Below are 20726 nucleotides of genomic sequence, written 5' to 3'. Positions count from 1 at the left end.
GAGAAATGGTCAGATGTGCGATTATATACTGATTCATGGGCTGTAGCCAATGGTTTGGCTGGATGGTCAGGGTCTTGGAAGAAGCATGATTGGAAAATTGGTGACAAGGAAATTTGGGGAAGAGGTATGTGGATGGACCTCTCTGAATGGTCAAAAACTGGGAAGATATTTGTATCCCACGTGAGTGCTCATCAACGGGTGACCTCAGCAGAGGAAGATTTTAATAATCAAGTGGATAAGATGACCTGTGCTGTGGACACCACTCAGCTTCTTTCCCCAGCCACCCCTGCCATCGTCCAATGGGCTCATGAACAAAGTGGCCATGGTGGCAGGGATGGAGGTTACACATGGGCTCAGCAACAGGGACTTCCACTCACCAAGGCTGACCTGGCTATGGCCACTGCTGAGTGCCCAATTTGCCAGCAGTAGAGACTAATACTGAGCCCTCAATATGGCACCATTCCTCATGGTGATCAGCCAGCTACCTGGTGGCAGGTTGATTACATTGGACCTCTTCCATCATGGAAAGGGCAGAGGTTTTTCCTCACTGGAATAGACACTTTCTCTGGATATGGGTTTGCCTATCCTGCATGCAATGCTTCTGTCACGACTACCATCCATGGATTCACAGAATGCCTTATTCACCATCATGGTATTCCACACAGCATTGCCTCTGACCAAGGCACTCACTTTGTGGCTAAAGAAGTGTGGCAGTGGGCTCATGCTCATGGAATTCATTGGTCTTACCAAGTTCCCCATCATCCTGAAGCAGCTGGATTGATAGAATGGTGGAATGGCCTTTTGAAGTTATAATTACAATGCCACCTACATGATAATACTTTGCAGGGCTGGAGCAAAGTTCTCCAGAAAGCCGTGTATGCTCTGAATCATCGTCCAATATATGGTACTGTTTCTTGCATAGCCAGGATCCACGGGTCTAGGAATCAAGGGCAGAAGTGGAAGTGGTACCACTCACTGTCACCCCTAGTGACCCACTAGCAAAATTTTTGCTTCCTGTTCCTGCAACATTACATGCTGCTGGCCTAGAGGTCTTAATTCCAGAGGAAGGAACACTGCCACCAGGAGACACAACAACAATTCCATTAAACTGGAAGTTAAGTTTCCCACCTGGAAACTTTGGGCTCCTGCTACCTTTAAGTCAATAGGCTAAGAAAGGGGTTACAGTGCTGGCTGGGGTGATTGACCCAGATTGTCAAGATGAAATCAGTTTACTACTCCACAACAGAGGTAAGGAAGATTATGTATTTAATACGGGAGATCCATTAGGGCGTCTCTTAGTATTACCGTACCCTGTAATTAAGGTCAATGGGAAACTACAACAGTCCAATCCAGGCAGTACTACAAATGACCCAGACCCTTCAGAAATGAAGGTTTGGGTCACTCCACCAGGAAAAAAACCATGACCTGCTGAGGTGCTTGCTGAAGGTAAAGGGAATACAGAATGGGTAGTAGAAGAAGGTAGTCATCAATACCAGCTATGACCACGTGACCACCTGCAGAAACAAGGACTATAATTGTCATGAGTATTTCCTCCTTCTTTTGTTAAAAACATGCTTGTGCATGTATACACCTGTACTAAGAAAATATCTTCATTTTATTTCCTTTCTTTTCCCTTTATTATGTGACATAAGATTTATTGACTTTACATCAGCATTTAAGTATTGTTAACTTTATGTAATAGTATTTGGGTTGGGGATTGGCGCGTTTCTGGTTGTATGAAGGATAGTTGTATTACGTTAGGTATAATTATCACCTTATTATTGTCTTTATTTGAAGGTTATGTATGATCTCAGGAGATGTGTACAGGTTCAAGTCGACAAGGCATGGACCTGTGATGGTCAATACTGAGTGTCAACTCCATTGGATTGAAGGATACAAGGTATTGATCCTGGGTGTGTCTGTGAGGGTGTTGCCAAAGGAGATTAGCATTTGAGTCAGTGGTCTGGGAAAGGCAGACCCACCCTTAATCTGGGTGGGCACAATCTAATCAGCAGCCAGTGGAGATAGAATAGAAGCAGGCAGAAAAATGTGAAAAGAGAGACTGGCCTAGCCTCCCAGACTACATCTTTCTCCTGTGCTGGATGTTTCCTGTCTTCGAATGTCGGACTCCAAGTTCTTCAGTTTTGGAGCTCGGGCTGGCTCTCCTTTCTCCTCAGCCTCCAGATGCCCTATTGTGGGACCTTGTGATCATGTGAGTTAATACTTAATAAACTCCCCTTTACATATATATCTATTCCATTAGTGCTGTCCCTCCAGAGAACGCTGACTGAAGAACTTGGAGTTCATACATCAGGAACATGTATTAGCTCAAGTAATGGCCCCAGCAAATCCCCTGAGGTTTATCTTGTCATCATCCCTTCCATTTTATAGTTGGGCAAATTAAGGCTCAGAGAGGCAGAGATATTTGCCTGAGCTCACACAGAGAGTACTGCTTCCAGGGAGTCTGACCCCAGAACACATGATTTTAAGAGCTTAAACCCCACTGCTTACTAATAAACTTAAAGGACTGGGTATATTTGGCTTTCTTTTTCTTTCTTTCTTTCTTTTTTTTTTTTTTTTTTTGTGACAGAGTCTCTCTTTGTAGCCCAGGCTGGAGTGCAGTGGCACGATCTTGACTGCCCACAACCTCTACCTCCTGGGTTCAAGTGATTATCCTGCTTCGGCCTCCGAGTAACTGGGGTTATAGGCGTGGGCCATCACATCTAGCTAGGTATAGTTGACTTTCTACAAATGCTACTGTTCCTCTTTCCTACTCTATCCAACACATTTATTTTCCTATCAACATTATCAATAACTTAGATAAAGGAGGTAGGTGTAGTAGAAAGAGAAATAGTGAATCTTTTGAATGGTAGAATCAAACACCCACAGATTTGGGGCAGGCTGGAGTGAGGGACTAAATCTAACATGATGGAACCTAGGATAGATGCCCTGCTTTTAGATATTGAAAACTACCACAGAGGTGACAGGAGGAGCATCAAGCACTTGCATAAAAGGGATTTGGGCAAAATGTGAATTAATGGTATACCTAGATCACTAGTAACTGGATCACAGAAGGACCCAGCGATATGTGAGATGGCCATGACTTGGCCATCTGTCTGCTCTTCTCCGTTCTAGAAGGCCATGAGGGCTTGACCCAAATTAGCAGGTAGTTCACAACCCAGTTTCTCAAACAAATGTCTGTACATGTACAAACACTTTTTTAAAAACACTTCACATAATAAACGTGAAGATATCATCTAATTTGTGTTCTGAAGTTAAATTTCTGTGAGATCCACTGGCAGATGAGCTAATGTACATGAAAAAGGCAACAATCCACCTCAGCCTCCCAAAGTGCTAGGATTACAGGCATGAGCCAGGCATGGTGGCGCACACCTGTAATCCCAGCTGCTCAGGGGGCTGAGGCAGGAGAATTGCTTGAACCCAGGAGGTGGAGGTTGCAGTGAGCCAAGATCGTGCCATTGCACTCCAGCCTGGGCGACACAGCAAGATTCCGTCTCAAAAAAAAAAAAAAAAATAAGTGACAGCAGCAGCATCAACAACCATTTCTGGAAAACCTCCTATGCACTGTGCACTTTACTCAAAGTTTTGCATGCATTATTTAATTTAGTGTTCACAAGAAGTAAATGTAGTGGGTCCTTGTCTTGCTTCTCTCATAGTTGAGGAAGTGGGGCTCAGAGGGATTATATTATGTACCCAATACCACGTGCTTAGTAAAAGGAAGTGGAATGTAAAATGAATCAAATCCAGAAGGTGGTATATCAGGAATCACTGGCTGACTGAGGGCCTTGAATAACCCACAGATTGATTGGTCAATGGGCCCCTGGCCACTAGTGGCCCGGCTCTGGAGACTGCTTTACCAAGTGGTTCTGGCTAGCTCTCGATGCACGGCGGCATACCCTATCACTGCCTGGAGATAGATTTTCTACCCCAAAGCATGACAGCATCTCCTAAGTGTTACTGTCACTGGCTCAGTGATAAAAAGGATGATTTCTACGGTTTTCTAAGCATGTAGAAGATGAGATAGTGTCATGTGTAATAAAGCTCAGAAAGGCCATAATATCCTGAGGTTCTGCCTCATCATTCTTCCAGTTCATCTAAACAAGTTCAGCTCTGCTCCCATGTTGCATTTATCAAAACATGATGTGGACGTGAAAATTCAGCTGCTGTAGTTTAGCAGATTGCCCTGAATCTTGCCAGGAGAGCTTAAGGGAGCCACAGAATCACAGCGTTCCAGGTCCTCCTCCTGTTTAGTTACAAACCCTGAAGTACTTTTCTCCGACCAAACTGTAAAAATGTTCTCAGCTCCAAGGGGCTTGTGTAATTTTTTTCCAGCATAGGCCTCAGGTAGAACGAACATTTATACCTCTGTTCTGGGGTCTCTGGGGAGTGCACTCTGCCTCTTGCTGTCTCCTCTTCCATGGTGCACTGGGAAGATTCCCACATTTGGTCACCAACTTGTTTTTTGACTTTGAGCAAAATTGCCCTTGAAAAGACCCAAGGTTGTTAAGTTACTTTAATACCTTTGTTTCCCTATTGTAAAATTAGGAGGTTCGTTCCTTCAACAAAAATTTTTATTACTTCCCATGTGTTGGGTGCCTTAGGGCCAAGCACCAAAGATATGCTTGTGAGCAAATCTGGACGTGCTCTCTTCCCTGAAAAGTTGGAGTGTCTCATGGACCAAAGGGTTGGGACTGAGTGACTGTTCAGGGCTTTCCAGGGTTTCCCATGCAGCAACTCATTGTCCCTCACCACCCCGTGAGGCAGGCATTATCATCTTCAGTAAAGAGATGAGGGGATGAGTCTCAGAGATGGTAAGTAACTTTCCCAACCTCCCACAGCAAGTCAACACACACTGGTGAACTCACATCCATTCTTTCTGCTTCCAAAGCCCACCATTTCTCCAGTGCTCTGATTTGCTACCTTAAGGACAAGGAAGCTAATGTTTACCAGATTATCACCTCCACTGTGTGGATGAAGGACCTCAGACTCAAAAGGGTCAGGGGCCCACTCAGTGTCACAGCCGGTGCACGTGGGAGGCATAGGAACTTAGGCCCGCTCTGTGTCTCAAAGAGCCCACTGTGGGCTTCAACTCCCTTGGCTTTGGCTCCCTGGGTTGTTAACAGGGCTCATCATTGACCACAGTAAGTTGCCCCCTTCTGTTTATGTATTGTTTTGTCTCCCTGTGTCTCAGTCATTCATCACAGAAACCCCAACAGTTCTGACGTCATTAATTGCCTCTTGATATGGTTTGGCTGTGTCCCTACCCAAATCTCATTTTGAGTTGTAGTACTCATAATCCCCACATATCATGGGAGGGAGTCAGTGGGAGGTATTTGAATCATGGGGGCAGTTACCTCCATGCTGTTCTTGTGATAGTGAGTGAGTTCTCATGAGTTCTGATGGTTCTATAAGGGACTTTCCCCCTACTTTGCTCAGCATTTCTCTTTGCTGCTGCCATGTGAAGGACATGTTTTCTTCCCCTTCCACCATGATTGTAAGTTTCCTGAGGTCTCTCCAGCAGTGCTGAATTGTGAGTCAATTAAACCTCCTTCCTTTATAAAATACCCAGTCTCAGGTATGTCTTTAATAGCAGTGTGAGAATGGACTAATACACTTCTCCTCCTAGCCAGCACATAGTTGGTGCTCAGAAAACACTGGTTAAACAAATAAGTTAATACTAATGATCATCCTCCAGGAAGCAGAGCCCACCCGCTGTGGCAAATATTCTATTTCTTAGCCTGGAAAGTAAAACCATAAGCTAAAGCTAGTACCAGTTCCTCCTGAGCTAGCATGACCAGAAGAAAACTAACCAGCCTCCTATAGGACATTTGAGAGATGCTCCAATCAAGGAAGCCCAGGACTTTCATTTGTACACCAGGCTTTGTTTATGGAATAAACAGGGCCACTTACAATGCATTCTGGCCTGGATTAAGATGAACTTCAGGTCCTCTAGCAAGGGTGGATTTGTATTGACATGCAACACAGGGGGCCCAGGTGGCGTTCTAGGACCCTGGATTGGTGCTTTGTTTGGGCTTCCCCCAACCTTACACTAGCCCTGTAGATATCCAGATGGCTGGGGCCTGGCTTCCATAGGGCCTCACCTCTCAGGGGCTCAGCTAAGAGCTGTGTGGGCTGAGTTGCGGAAGGCAGTGAGAGGAAGGAGGCCCAGGTACTACAGGGGCTTGGATGCTGAGGTTCAGCATGAAAGATTCTCCTTCTGCACCAGCAAACATTTGCAAACCTCTTTCCTTTATAAAATACCCAGTCTCAGGTATGTCTTTATTTAATTTGCAGGTTAATTATTTTTCTAAAGAGCAGCAGCCTTCATCCTCTCTCACCCTCTGCCGTTTTACCCATCTGTGTGAACTACCAAGTTTAAGGGAAAAATAATGCTAAGAGCACAGGAACAATGCCATCTCCAAAAGGAGTGGGCTGTAATTTTAATATACAGATGCTAAATAAAACCTCAGTTTTTCAGGACATAAGGGTTTCCTGAGCTTCACAGCTGTGAGCAGAGATGGCCAGGCATTTATTTCATTTAATTGTACAGTCCAGATTCTTACTGTCCACTGACAGCCCATTAAAGGAAGCTGCACCTGCATTTATTAGAAGAGACAGAAGGAAAATTCCAGGTCTCAGTGCCTTCACAGCCAGGTGGAGGAGCTGGACTCTTAACAAAAGAAGCTGAAAACAGGCTAAGAAAGAGAAGGGCTCACAGGTTAGTGAGGGAGGGCCAAGGGCGTGGTGAAGGCTTTTACAGGACACCTGAATCTTGAAGGGGATGCGGACGTAATAGGAATTGTACCTTATGTTCTCTTCGGTATTTCAATTATCACGGCAACATTATAAGGCAGACATTGCAAGCAACATTTTTCAGATTACAAACTGAGGTCCAAAGCACAGAGAATTTGTCTGCAAACTTCATAGCAGAGCCTGGACTCAAACATTGCTTCGTGCGATTCCAAGTTCGGTATTCATGTCCTTATGAAACCTTTGCCAGATGTCTCCCATGTGCCTGATCTGCATCAGGTATAAGTTGCATGAAGAGGTGAGACCCCATCTCTGACCTCAGGGGTTTCTGGTCTAGAGAAGAATGATCTAAACACCCACACTGTGAGGTTGGGGCTGGGAGCTTGGAGCTGGGGGCTGGGATTTGAAAGATGCCTGGATGTCTGCCAGGGGACTGTGGCAAGGGCACTTGAGGTTTTAGACAAAACCCATGAGTAAGGTCATAGAACGTGGAGCTGGACTTGAGGTGGGGTGAGGAAGAGGAGCATTTATTTGGGATGGGTAGAGAATAATAAGAGCTAATCTTTACTCAGAGCTTGTTATTTTCCAGGCACTGCTCTAACTGCTTTTCCCATGGTGGCTCCTTGAATCCTCACAAACCTCTCAAATAGTGACTGTTATTCCATCATCTTCATTCATACAGGGTCTTGCTCTGTTACCCAGGCTGGAGTGCAGTGGTGTAATCATAGCTCACTGAAGCCTGATCACAGCTCACTGCAGCCTTGACCTCCTGGGCTCAAGCAAACCTCCTGCCTCAGCCTCCTGAGCTGGAATTACAGGTGCTCACCACTAGACCTAGCTAATCTAAATTTTTTTTTTTTTTTTTTGTAGAGATGGCATCTCACCATGTTGCCCAGGCAGGTCTCCAACTCCTGGCCTCAAGTGATCCTCCTGCCTTGGCCTCTTATAATGTTGGGATTACAGGCAAGAGCCACTCTGTCCAGCCTCATTCCCTCAGCTTACTGCTGGTGGAGCTAGAGGCACACAGAGATAAGATGACTTGCTAGATTAGGTCCCTCTGCTAGTAAGAGAGGGAGCCAAGATTCACACCTGGGTGGTCTGGCTTCTGAGTCTCCCCAGCCCTGTGCAGAGGAGGAAGTATGTCCAGGAAGGGCAGCATCCACCAAGCATGAGAGCTGGCCAAGATACGGCACGGGGGCTTTGCTCATTCTGCAGTCAATGGACATTTTCCAGTCTAATGTGCCAGGGGTTGTGAAAGGGAAAAACAAAGGAAAATAAGTTAAACTCCAGCAGAGAAGAAAGTACTTTCAAGAACAATGATGACACAGGAAGAATGTGAATAGCAGCTTGAGGGAGATAGAAGAGGTGCCCACACCATCAGCCCCCTGTTTCATGCTCATTGTTTTATTTATCCTGATTCATTCCCAGGCTCTATTTACAAACTCCCTGTTTTTCGAGAGAAATTCTAATGCCTCTCTGATGCCTGATACAGTGCATTACACCAAGCACATTTTTTTTAAACAAATGAAGGCCTCTCAGAGCACCCCCTTTGCACACTGAGGGGAAATCTGCCTACCCAAGACTTCTGCACTAACCCATCTTGCCCTGCTTGGGACCACAAGAATCAGCCAGGCCCCTTCCACTTGGCGCCCTGTCAGATGCTCAAAGAATGTGATACTCTCTGGCTACCATATAAGCTAAAAAATAGAGCTTCCTCCTCTGTGGCATCGGTTGAACCTGTCTGTGGAGTCACACCCATTCGACTAGGTTTTTTTCTCTTGGCTACTCCATCCAGTCTCTTCTGCAGGTGCATTTGCCTCTGCTCAGTCATTACATGATAGATTTCTACAAGACGAGGTCCGATGCCTCCTAGATATTTACTCTATTCTTTTTGCCTGGGAGATTTTATCCATGTCCATGGCTTTAATGACCACCTTTAAATATGTATCATCCAAATTTATATGTCTAGTCTGAGCTTTTCCCCCTTTGCTCCAGTCATGTATACCCCTGTATCCTTTAAAGCATTTTTTTCCCCTCTGGAAAATTTTAAGCACATATCAAAATAGAACAAGTTAATGAACCACTAATAATTAGAATCTAGTTTCAGCTACTCTTGACTTTGTGCTATTTTGTTTCTTCTATCTCCCTGCTCCTCCTCATCCTCTGCCTGGTTGGTATAATTTGAAGATGATCCAAATCATCACACTATTTTGTCTGTAAATACTTCAGAATCCACTAGCCTTCTAAATATTTTCCTTTGGCTTTCTCAAAAGTATCTGAAGATCAACTCTTTCAAAATCAAATGTGAGGCTTTCCTCTTTAGAATTGGTCCTCTTCCAGTGTTCTCCAACTCAATGAACCTCACCACCCTATATCCTGAGAATTATCCTTGATACATTCCTCTTATCCCTACCCACTGTATATCACCAGCTTCCCTTATCTTGAGCTCTCCCTCTCTATCACCTTACTCCAAACCATTGTTTCTCACCTGGACCATTTGTGATAGTCTTCTGGCCATCTGCCTTTCTCCACTGTGGTCCTACTCCATTTACTCCCCTCCACATTACAGACAAGCGATGTTTTCTTTTTTCATTCAGCAAATATCTACTGAATACTTACTGTGTCCTAGGTATTATAAACAAGATGCTGGCCATGTATTGATTAACAGGTACATTTCTTGTTTATGAAACACACACACACATACACACACACACACACGCACGACAATAATATATGTAATTTGAAGTGCTATGAAGGAAATAAAGCTGGGGCTAGATAGTGACGGGGTGCTGTCTTATATAGAGTGGCCTAGAAAGGCCAATTGTGCAAAAACTGATGAATATGAAGGCATTAATCACACCCAAGTCCAAGGGTAGATTATCCCAGCCAGAGAAAACAGTAAGGACGGGGGCCCTGATATATCTCATCTAACAACTTAATTTTCTTCTTGTGAGGGGGAGTTCCTCAATTTTTTAAAAGACTTTACTTTTTTTAGAACAGTTTTAGGCTCAGCAAAATTGAGAGGAAGATACAGAGATTTCCTACATACCAGAGACTTGTGTCTGTGGCTCTGACCTTGACCCCATTCCCCACTGTGTTCCAGGCATATGGGCCTGTCTCCAGGCCTTTGGGCATCCTTCTTGCTGCCGCAGAGGCTTTGTACAGAATCCTTGCCTCTGTTTGGCATGTTCCTTTTCCCGCTCCTGCTTCACCTTGTTCTAGTTCAGGCTTTGAATCCTTGATTCTGCCTGTTTTAAGTGGTTCAGGCTGCTGTAAAAAAACACCATAGACTGGGTGGCTTATAAAAAACATACATTTATTTCTAACAGTTCTGGAGGCTGGGAAGATCAGGCTGCCAGCATGGTCAATTCTGGTGAAGGCGCTTTTCTGGGTTGCAGACTGCTGACTTCTCATTGTATCCTCACATGGCAGAAAGAGGGTGAGAGAGCTCTCTGGGGTCCCTTTTATAAGCGCACCAATCCCATTCATGAGGGCTCCATCCTCATGATCTAACTACCTCCCAAAGCTCTTACCTTCTAAGGAGGTGAAGCTTTCAACATAGGAACCTTGTGGGGAACACAAACATTCAGACCATAACACCTCCTTAATAATTACTTCCTTAGTAAAGCCCCAGCCCCCATTCTGCTCTCTCACCCCTCCAATCCTGGTTAAACTTGCCTTGCTATAGCCACCATGGCCTTCTTTTGGCTGTTCAAATGCACCAGCCAACTTACCACTGTCAGCCTCTGTATTGGGTTTACCCTGCCTGCAATGCTCCTTCTCTTGACCTCACAGCTGGCATTGCTCAGACCTCAGTTGAACTGCCCCAGAGCAGCCATCCAAAGCCACCTAGCCTAAAGTGGCCATGCAGTCTCTCCTTCTCATATCTCTCTTTTCTAGTTCTCTGCTAATATTTTTCTTGATTGACTGATTTGATTGATCTCTTCCACTCCACCCCAAATGTAAGCTCCAAGACAGAGGAATATTATCTGTCTTCTTCATCCTGCATCTCCAGGGCCTGAAGTGCATGGTAGGTGCCTAACGACTGTTAAGTGAATGAAGGCATTATATATTTGTGAATGGGGAAGTGCAAGATGAAAGTGGTGCTTAAGGAGAACTACAGATCAATAACATTCAGGGGGATCAAGGAGAGCTTAGATGTAGAGAAAGGAAACCGAAGAAGAATACAGTTCATGGTTTTTCTGTCAATTACATCCCTCCACCACTTGAATCAGTACCTGTGAGGGTGGGGCCCCCACATATGTATATTTTACAAGCTCAGGAGATTCTGATCCTCAGCAGGGCTGAGAACAATGAGGCTAGATGAGATATAACGGTGCTAGTACTTATAATAAAAAAGTAAAAAAAAATTCAACTTGGTAAAATTAATTTTATAGTATATTTTATTTAACCCAACATAATCCAAAATATTATTTCAGCGTGTCATAAATATAAAAGTTATCAATGAGATAGTTTGTATTTTTTTCATTAATAATCCTTCAAAATCAGTGTGTAGCTCATGCTTATAGCACATTGCCATTCAGACTGGCCATAACCTAAGAACTCAGTAATCATGAGGGGTCAGGGTCCCATACTAGATGGTGCAGAACCACAGGTCCCTTCTGGCTCTGGTGTCTGGCAGCTGATTCGAGCATAGTGAGGAGACTCCTGTAATTCCCAAAGCAGCCTGGCGTGTACTGGGGATCACATTTCCTCCTTGTTCTTATTAACATCTCTGTTCTCTCAAGATCTGCTTTGTCTTGACTCTGGATTAATTTCTCTTTGCTGTCTGTTGGTAACTGAGAATCCCCAGCCTAGATCAAAGATATCTTGCTAACCTGTTTCTTTTCTTGAGTGAACATGTTGCAGGATCTGATTTTTAACCAGTGGATGTCACTGTTTACTCAAAGAGGGTCCTTGGAGGAGACACTCTAATCCAGGGATGAATGTAAAAACAGTAGTCATTGTCTCATCTTCCCTTCTATTAGTGTTTCCCTTCTAATTTGAAGCTGTATTAGGTTTTTAGGAAGGGAAAGGTAAGTGGTTAGTGCTGGTTCACTTGTGCTGTCTAGAGCATTTGTTGGTCTTAGAGATTTGAAACCTCATTTAATAAAAGGTGCAGTCCATAATTACAAGGCAAATAGTAACAAAGTAGGCTGGGTGCGGTGGCTCACGCCTGTAATCCCAGCACTTTGGGAGATCAAGGTGGGAGGACCGTTTTAGCCCAGGAGTTTGAGACCAGCTTGGCCAATATAGTAAGACCTCATCTCTGCGAAAAAATCAAAGAATTACCTGGGTGTGCTTGCATGCGCCTATAGTCCCAGCTACTTGGCAGGCTGAAGCAGGAGGATTGTTTCAGCCCATGATATCAAGGCTGCAGTGGGCTGTGATTGTGCCACTGCATTCCAGCCTGGGTGACAGAGTAAGACTCTGTCACAAAATAAATACATAAATAAAAAAACTGGCCTGGTGCGGTGGCTCATGCCTGTAATCCCGGCATTTTGGGAGGCTGAGATGGACAGATTGCTTGAGTTCAGGGGTTCGAGACAAACCTGGGCAACATGGTGAAACCCCATCTCTACTAAAAATACAAAATAATTAGCTGGGCATGGTGATGTGTGCCTGTGGTCCCAGCTAATGGGGGGCTGAGGTGGGAGAATCACTTGTACCTGGGAGGTGGAGGTTGCAGTGAGCCGAGATCACACCACTGCACTCCAGCCTGAACAACAGAGTGAGACACTGCCTCAAAAAATGAAACAAAACAAGATCCTAAGTTAATTATAGTAAAAAAAAAAATCCCTGAACTGCTCTTTTAAAAAGAAGAGTTCTGTATTTCTGCAAAGCAGAGGTCACAAACAGCCTGTAGCCAAGTCTGCTGCTGTGTGACCAGCACAATGTTTGAAAAACAATTGAGCTAACATTTGCATTGGAGGGCGATGCAAACATTTGATTTCTGTCTTTGCCTCAAATATGAAATCTGGCCCTGTTAGACTCATACCCTACAAGGCCACAGCTGGGATGATGCTCAGTTGCTTCTTGTAAATTGTCATGTCCTCTTTTTCCCACAGGCCTCACCACTCCCAACAACTCGCCAGACCAGGTATTTTCATCTATTCAGGTTGGCAGCCCAATCTCTGTTGGCATTGGCAGTTTAGATTGCTGTTAAAACCTGTTTCTTGGAGTAGAAACAAATATGGAAGCATTAATTGTTTTAGTAGACATCTGAAGGGTGGGATGATTTGGAAACAAAGACAACAGAAGATTGGTTTTAAAGATCTTTTTCTGGCTTTAGGTTTGGGGTTGAATAATTCTTGGCTCAGGTTAGGACTAGCCAGCCTTTTGCTTGAAACTACCTTCAGAATTACAGATGTCTGTCGTTGTCATGAGCTCTCCAAGGTAGCCCAGGGTATGGGAGATGGAAGGAAAATGGATTAGCTAAGGTAGGACCTTTGATGCCACTGTTGGGGGCTGGGTGAGGATTGACCCCATTGGCCTCCCCTCACCTTCAATCCCATAAGTGGCAAGCCAGGATCCTCTTTTACCTTTCTCTAAGGTGATAAGTCTCAAACTTGAGTGAGCCTCAGAGTCACTTGAAGGGCTTGTTAACTACAAGCTGGACCCAACTCGCAGAACTTGATTCAAGAGGTCCAGTGTAGGGCTTGAGAATTCACATTTCTAACACAGTCTCAGGATATGCTGCTTCTGTTGATCCTGCAACTACACTTTGAAAACACTGGTTTCAAAACACTGGCTTTTGAGGTCAAAGTGAGATTGTTTCAAAGGCAAAAGAGATGTGTGTGTGTGTGTGTGTGTGTGTGTGTGTGTGTGTGAAAGAGAGAGAGAGGATGAGACAGAGGATATATTGAAAACAAGCTCTTGATTTCTGTTCCAGAATACGTGTGATACAAGAGTTAGTACATTCCCAAAGATTGAAGAATGAATTCAGGCACAAGCAACACTTCTGAGACGGTCCTGGCTTTTTCTTATCAATGCGTTTGATATACTTCTCAAGAAAAAAGACACTACCATTGGGCAGCCTCTACCTCTAGGGCTCATTACCTGACAGTGAATGAAGTGACCTTTTTCTTAAAAGGACAGCAAACAGCAACCACTGGCTGGTCTTCTACTGCTTCTGCCACTGCTTCTGACAGTGCAATGCAGAGGGAGGGGGCGAGGCTCTGGAGCAGGATGAGTTGACATTTACTGAGTGCTTCCTGTCTGCCAGTAGCTGTGCTATATGCTTACTTGCAACATCTCATGCAAATCTTCAAACCATTCCAGGAGATATGCACTCTATATAATCCCATTTTGTAGTTGAAGAAGCTGCCTCAGAGCTATTAAGTAACATCTCTAAAGCCACACAGCTGGTGGGCGATGCCCAGGGTTTGATCTGGGACCATTTGACTCTACAGCTGGAGCTCCCAACCATGGCTTCTCAAGCTAGAAAAGGCTTGAAGTGTAGTAGTGCCTCTAAGAAGCTGTGGGAAAGGATAACTGATTTTCTCCTTTGTGTCTTTAACTTCCTCTGCAGCAACATGGTAACAAGAATACTACTTCCTAGATTATTGTACAAATTAAATAGGGCACAGTCTGTATGTCATCAATATATCTTTGTGTCGATGAGTATTAATATACTTCTTCTTTCCATCCTTGTATCTCTTGAGTGATTTGCCCTATGCCTCAAAGCATGCACTCATTGCGCATTCTTGTGCACCTACTGTGTGCACTGTGAACCAGCAGACGTGGTCCCTGCAGAATGTTGGCAAGAAGGAGCCACAGATTGATAAGCCAGTGGTCAACTGTTCATCTCCAAATGCAGATCTTCCAGGCTTCTCACATTCAACTTGCCTCCCCACCTGTTACTCTCCATAGATGCTGGTGTTCCCTGTTTTGACTGGCAGTGCCACCTACCATTCTATGAGCCAATAGCCTGCCTGCAACCCCTCACCACCATACATCTCCTTCAGATATCAAACTCCTTATCTGAGCAGGACTTAAGTTTTATGGAAAATTCTACCTGGACAATCTCTGCCTCCTATGGGATTGTCTATTTCTCTGCCAGTCTTGATCCTTCCAATACAGTCTCCATGTGGCTCTGAGCATGAGTGTTCTGTTCTGAATGCACCTTTGCACCCATCGTCACCTGTGCCAGGTTCTGCAGCAGTTCCTTCCTGCCCTCAGGCCCGTGCCCAGCCTCCAAAACCCCCAGCCTCCCAGACACACATCCTCAATGGTGCCCAGCCCACTGCCCTGTCTGGCCTCACTCTCCAGTGACATCTTCTCATTTCCTAGCAACCTCAACCCCTTGGAACCTGTCTGCTCACTTTACTAGCTTGTGCCTCCATGAATTTTCTGAGGACACTGTCTTTGTCAGGAATGCCCCGCCCAGCCCTGCCCTTCGCTCACCCCTACTCATTCTTTCCCAGTAGCTCAGGAGGCTGCCTTGGCAGAAGGCCTTTGGGCTTCCCAGTTTGGGTCAAGTTCTTCTGTGCTCCAGACATGTCTTTATTTCTACATTCAAGTTGAGACTAATCAGCCATGGCCTGGGCTCCCGAGAGCTGGGCACATGGAAATGGGCAGGGGAGCTGGCTGGGTGGAGGTCTCCTGGGGTGTGGGGGGGTTTGGAGCATTTACAGCTGCGGTGTCATGCACCTGTGAGCACCTCGGCTCGACAGGAGGGCCTCTGGGGTGGCCTTTGGTGCTTCAGGGCTCAGAGGCTTAAAAAACTGCGGGAGAGGTCAGCATCTTTGTTTCAAGACCTTTCTCTCTGACATTTCTACCCTGAAATGCCACTTCTACTGCACCACATGGAGACACATGTCCAAGAGGGCTTGACCTACTCAGAGTCCTGGTGATCCGTCAGAGGGAGGCAAGCTGATCCTGCCTTCCAGATGGGGGCCCCTGGACAGTAGCGAACATCGGCTGCAGGCCTGTGCTTGCCAGCCCTGCTTCACCCTGCCTGGTTGCAGGCCTTTCCCTTCTCCCAGCTCCCTCTCTTGCACAAACACAAGCCATTAATTAAACCAGGACCTTTGTTTCCTGAGCCCCTCCCTCCAGCTCCTTTCCCAGCAGGCACCTGAGGGGGTCCCTTGTGACTCAGTGGGGGTGCTGGTGACAGCACTGGGAGTTGGGGATGGGGTATGATGGGGACCTAAGCAGTGGCTCCTGATTCCTCTTCTATATCATGGGCTTCAGGGGCTCTGAGACAGACTGCAGGGCCTTCTTACTTTTAGAGATCTGGGGAACATTGGTATATTTGTTTGACAGGGGTTTCAGGCCCCACAGTCAAGTAAAAATGGCCCCAGGACTCCTTGTAGGGAACCAGGGAGGGTTGGGAGAAAGCTGTCTTTCTTGAAAGAGTATTTGTTTTTTTGAAAGCAGCTCCCTGCTGTTTTGTATCCTGTTAACAGAACCAAAGACAATACGCATTGTAGACTGAATCAGCTCACAGCCACACTCTTCCATCTCTCACTTAATTTGATTCTTTACCAACCCTGTGAGATAGAGGGGCAAAGACAGGCAATAGGCTCCCTCCTTTATAGATGAGGAAACTGAGGCACAAGGAGTAATATTTGCCGAGTGTTTGCAATTTGCTAAACATTTGCATGTAAATAGTCACATTTGATTCTTACAAACCAGACTCCAAGGTAAATAAGGGATATGTTAATAACATCTTCAAAAACTATTATTGCATTTTTATATATGCTTGGCACCATTTATGATAATTAAATATAGTGTCATTAGGCAATAATCTTATTGGAGATGTTATTATCCTCAACTTGTCCAGCACTTACTTAGACTCTGATAAATAAAATAACTACCTCTGTGACACAGGGGGGTCTATGTCAGAATTGGTACAAGAACTCAGACTACCATGTCTTCATTGTAAAAGTCTGTCTACTACTGGTCCACAGCCATGTGCTTGAGCTCCCTTCTAGAATTCTTTCTGGTACTTCTTTAGTCTTTGAACATGAGCAGGCTTTCAGTTATTGCAGGAAGAGGATTCTCTGCCCCCCAGTCCCCGACTCCACGCTGCTAGAAGGCTGGGGAGAAAGGTTGATGGTGCCTGGGACAGAAAGACTACATGTCCACTCCTATGTGAGAAGGAGGTAAAATCTGGACAACACTCCCAAATGTAGGAGGGTAATGTCTCCACTGAGCAACTCATTCTGCCCTGGGAAATACTTTAGTTTTTTTCCCAGGCCTTTTCTGGCTCCCAGATTTGTTTGCTGGGAATTAATATTTGTTAAGCACCAAAGCCATTGCAACTTCATTTTTAACTCGAATTTCCTGCTGAGACAAGTAATATTATCCTAAACTTATAAATTAAGACTTTTGAGATACAGATAAGTTAAATAATTTGCTTCAGGTCATGCAGCATGTTAAATCTGCATGTTAAGTAGCAGGGATTTGAGTCTCAGCCTTGTTGACCTCAAAGTCCCCCAAATAATCTACTTTGTTATATCACTGAGGAGCTGAAAAGCTTGCAGTCTATACTATACAGTGCCTTTGAGCAAATTTGGAAAAAGTGTTACCCTTGGGCACATGAAATTAGAAAAAAGGTGCCAATTCTAGGCACATCCCCAGCACATGTGGGTCAGGGAGCCAAGGCAAGCGGCATCTCTTCCAGGCCCAAAGCACAGCATGAACCGGAGGGATGGGCCAGATTTCCATCTCACTGGCTACCTCAGCAAGTGCCACTGTGTACTGCATAACCTGTGAACTGGAGAAAATGATTCCTTCCGGAGCCTTAGCCTATGGTGGTCAGAGATAGAAGGATCATGCTTGCCCTCACACAGAGGTGTCCAGGCATCCTGGTATATCAACAAACTGGGTTTGAATTCTGGCTCTACAGCTCTTCCAAGTCCTGCCAACCAGGATAAATCATTTAACCCTCTGTGCCTCAGTCTTCCTCCTAGGGCTGTTGTGAGCACTAAATAAGATATCCCTTATCATGTGCATGCTCAGTGCAGGCCACACCAGCTCTCAGTGTTTGCTGTCAGCATAGGAAGCATTGTCTGGGGGCTCCTTTCAAATCAGTTAGCAATGCTTTGTCAATGAGCCTGCTTTCCAGACTTTCTTTTCATCAGCTGCTTTGGCAGAGTAATCAGAGGCCCATGAGGATCTAATTAGAGACGATAAACACATCAGGGAAAGAACAAGACACTCATTATTGGTGAGTGCACTCAAGGTAAAGTTATCATGAAGCTCAGCTTTCGTCTGTAGGTACAAAGCACAGATGGAAATATCTGAGAAGTGAGTTCTTCTACCTCCTATCTCCATAGGGAGCTTCTATTCATCCTTCCAAACCCCAGCTTAGATGACTCATCCTTCATAAAGTGTTCCATAATCCCTGATCCCTTTGATACATTAAATCTTCAGTTCTACTTTAGGACATTTTTGCATATACATCTAACATTTACTTATTTATTTGCTAATTAATTCAATTGTTTATGCAACTAGTACTTAATGAGTATAATGAGCATAAACTACCACTACTATGAGTACTACTACATAGTACTACTATGAGTACTACTACATAGTACTACTATGAGTACTTGATGAGTACCTACTATGTGCAAGGTATGGGGGATGTTCATAGGTGAAGAACTTTGGATCCTCTTTATTCTCGTCATTTTGGCCCCTGGCTATCTTAGGTAGAATGCACATTCTGTTCCTGAACCTAATCCAAATCCTGGAACTCACTCATCACTGCCCTCTCTCCTGCAGTAACTTCAACAGCATGGCTGAGGATACCAGAGGAGCCATGAAATGAGAGTGACCATCTTACTGGTTGAATTCACATGCAGGAAGCAACAGAGGCTGTGAGGTGAAGACTGAGGGAAAGTGGGCACATGAGCCATGCTGGGAAGGCTGGCAGTCCATGGTAGGGGCTCAGACCTGAGGGTCTGCGGACCAGGGCTGTGATTAGGGCATACAGCAGCTGATTCTGCCATCCCCACTCCCCAAGTGTTAGTGCTTCCCCTGGCTGGGAAGGCTTTAGTGCAGCTGCTCTTATGGCTCTGCATGTAGGTGTCTGTGCAACGAGGAAGAGAAGCAGGAAGGAAAAAAACCCCACAAAAACGGAAACAGCTGGTGAAGGAGGCTAGCTCAGCAATAAGGGCATTGCTGAAGCAACCAATAGCCTTGACCTACAAAGAACATTAAACCATCTTGACAGCAACCATTTTGTGCTGCAAAATACAGAGAGACACTGGAGACAAGGCAGCTCCAGGAGGGGCCTGGGGCTAGATGGGTGGAGAATTTCTGCATATCATCAGGATTTTTATTAGTAATTACCTTGCAAGGGAGAGTACCAAGGACAGAGGCAGGCTGAGAAAGGCCATTTGGGAAAGTCCATGAAGACAGCAGTCTGATGTGGTAATAACTAGCCGGAGATGAAATCTCATTTCATTCTGCCAACAAATCTCCACGGAACTGAGTCCCAGCTTTGCTCTCATTCACAATAGAACACACCTGGTTTGAATTCCAGCTCTGTTTTCATTAGAGGTGGGATCCTGACCAAGTTATTTAATCTCTCTGGAGCTATTGTTTCTACCTCTGCAAAATGAGAGTCCTAATAGCTGTAGGGGATTAGAGACAATATATATAAAACATCTTGCACAGTGTCTAGCAGGGAGTAGCCACAACTCAATAAAATGTAGCTATTATAATTTGTGGGAGAGAGTAATGGTGGTGTTAGTATGAGTGCACACTAGCTGTTGGAACAAAGAAATCCCAGTCTCAGTTGCATAAAACAAGAAAAATCTGCTTCTTGCACATGTAACAATCCAATACATGACTGAAGGTCAGAGAGTGTTTTCTTCCATGTGTTGACTCAGGGACCCAAGCTCTTTCCTGTTGTTGCTCTACCATCAGATCCCATAGCCACAGCTGGTCACATGGCTTCTTGGAGAAGGGGTGGGAAGCTTCAGCAATGACTGGGAACTCCCTCCCAGAAAATACTGCATACTGTTGAAGGAGGTGCACATATTTTGGGTGGATTGTTAGCTGGCCCTGCACCAGTAGTAGGAGAAGAGTGACAGTTTGGGATGAAGCAGACGCCTTAGGACAGAGCCAGGCTCAAAATTGTAATTGATCGGCAAACCCCCCACCCATTCTGAATAACCTGGCTAGGATTAGCTCTGTCCTAAGGCATCGGCTTCATCCCAAACTGTCACTTCTCTGCAGAGCTAATCCAACAACATTGACATTATTCAGGAGCTTGTTTGACATGCAAAATCACAAGTCCCACCCCAGACCACCTGAGTCAGAATGTGCATTTAGGATCCCCTGCAGAGATTCTGATTTAGGAGGGCTGATGTGAGATTCTGCCTTGTTTCTAACAACCTCTCAGGTGGCACCGATGTTGCTGGTGCATGAGTACACTTCAGCGGCAAGCACGAAAAGGACCTGATTACAGAAACTCAACTTCTCCCTGGACAAAATGAGATTTTTCCGGTGGTTATATGGAGGTGAGAGGTGGGCATCTCACCCTCCCCTCCTTGTGGTTGTGGTCACCTACTATGATGACCACATAGGGTGGGTGGCATTTCTGCAAAAAGAGGGTTAAGTAGCATTCCCTGTTCTTGTTTTGTCTAAGAGAGGCGGAAATCCTGAGACCACCCACAGAAACCCTGCAGCTATGTATTTACTGTTATATGGTGGCTGAGCAGAGAGACACTTGCTCTTCGGATGTATGGTTAGAATCCATCTCTGATGGACATGAATCTCTGTCTAGCTGAGATTTACTTGCAATTGTCTGCAGTGAGAAATGTTAGTTAATGAAGCCTGTGCTACAGTCACACAGGTAATCACCCTCTTCCCTCTTCTCACTCTTCTTTACCCCCAAGACAGTTCATTCTTTTGGAAAAATTCATTAACCTACAGTAACACTATTCACCAGTGACAACTCTAAGAAAAAGCAGGCTCGTGTTTCTTCTTACAGACTATTC

General features: G+C 45.0%; 2 long non-coding RNA genes across 3 annotated transcripts in view, besides 1 other annotated feature; both read left to right on the top strand.

Moving 5' to 3' along the window:
• LOC105378399 (uncharacterized) overlaps positions 1 to 1894 on the top strand; it is a 31892-nt gene extending 29998 nt beyond the window's left edge. For both annotated transcript variants that reach the window (XR_946148.2, XR_946149.1), the window contains one exon: positions 1798 to 1894. This is a non-coding gene — a long non-coding RNA (uncharacterized LOC105378399). The remainder of the gene's footprint in view (positions 1 to 1797) is intronic.
• Positions 1895 to 2652: 758 nt separating this feature from the next.
• Positions 2653 to 20179, top strand: LOC105378398 (uncharacterized). Its single transcript, XR_946147.1, has 3 exons — positions 2653 to 2731; positions 18502 to 18601; positions 20129 to 20179. It is a non-coding gene; the product is annotated as an uncharacterized LOC105378398 (long non-coding RNA).
• Positions 15450 to 16408: an enhancer, noted in NCBI's record as "NANOG-H3K4me1 hESC enhancer chr10:85716832-85717790 (GRCh37/hg19 assembly coordinates)". NCBI's record gives its function as "activates a minimal SCP1, AML or CMV promoter by ChIP-STARR-seq in naive H9 embryonic stem cells {active_cell/tissue: H9 hESC(naive)}" and the evidence as "EXISTENCE:reporter gene assay evidence [ECO:0000049][PMID:30033119]".
• Positions 20180 to 20726: the final 547 nt, after the last annotated feature.

This window comes from Homo sapiens, chromosome 10 (genome assembly GCF_000001405.40).
Source record: "Homo sapiens chromosome 10, GRCh38.p14 Primary Assembly".
NCBI classification, from domain to species: domain Eukaryota; kingdom Metazoa; phylum Chordata; class Mammalia; order Primates; family Hominidae; genus Homo; species Homo sapiens.
Note: the sequence above shows the minus strand (reverse complement) of the source record. Positions and strands in the feature narration are given on the sequence as shown.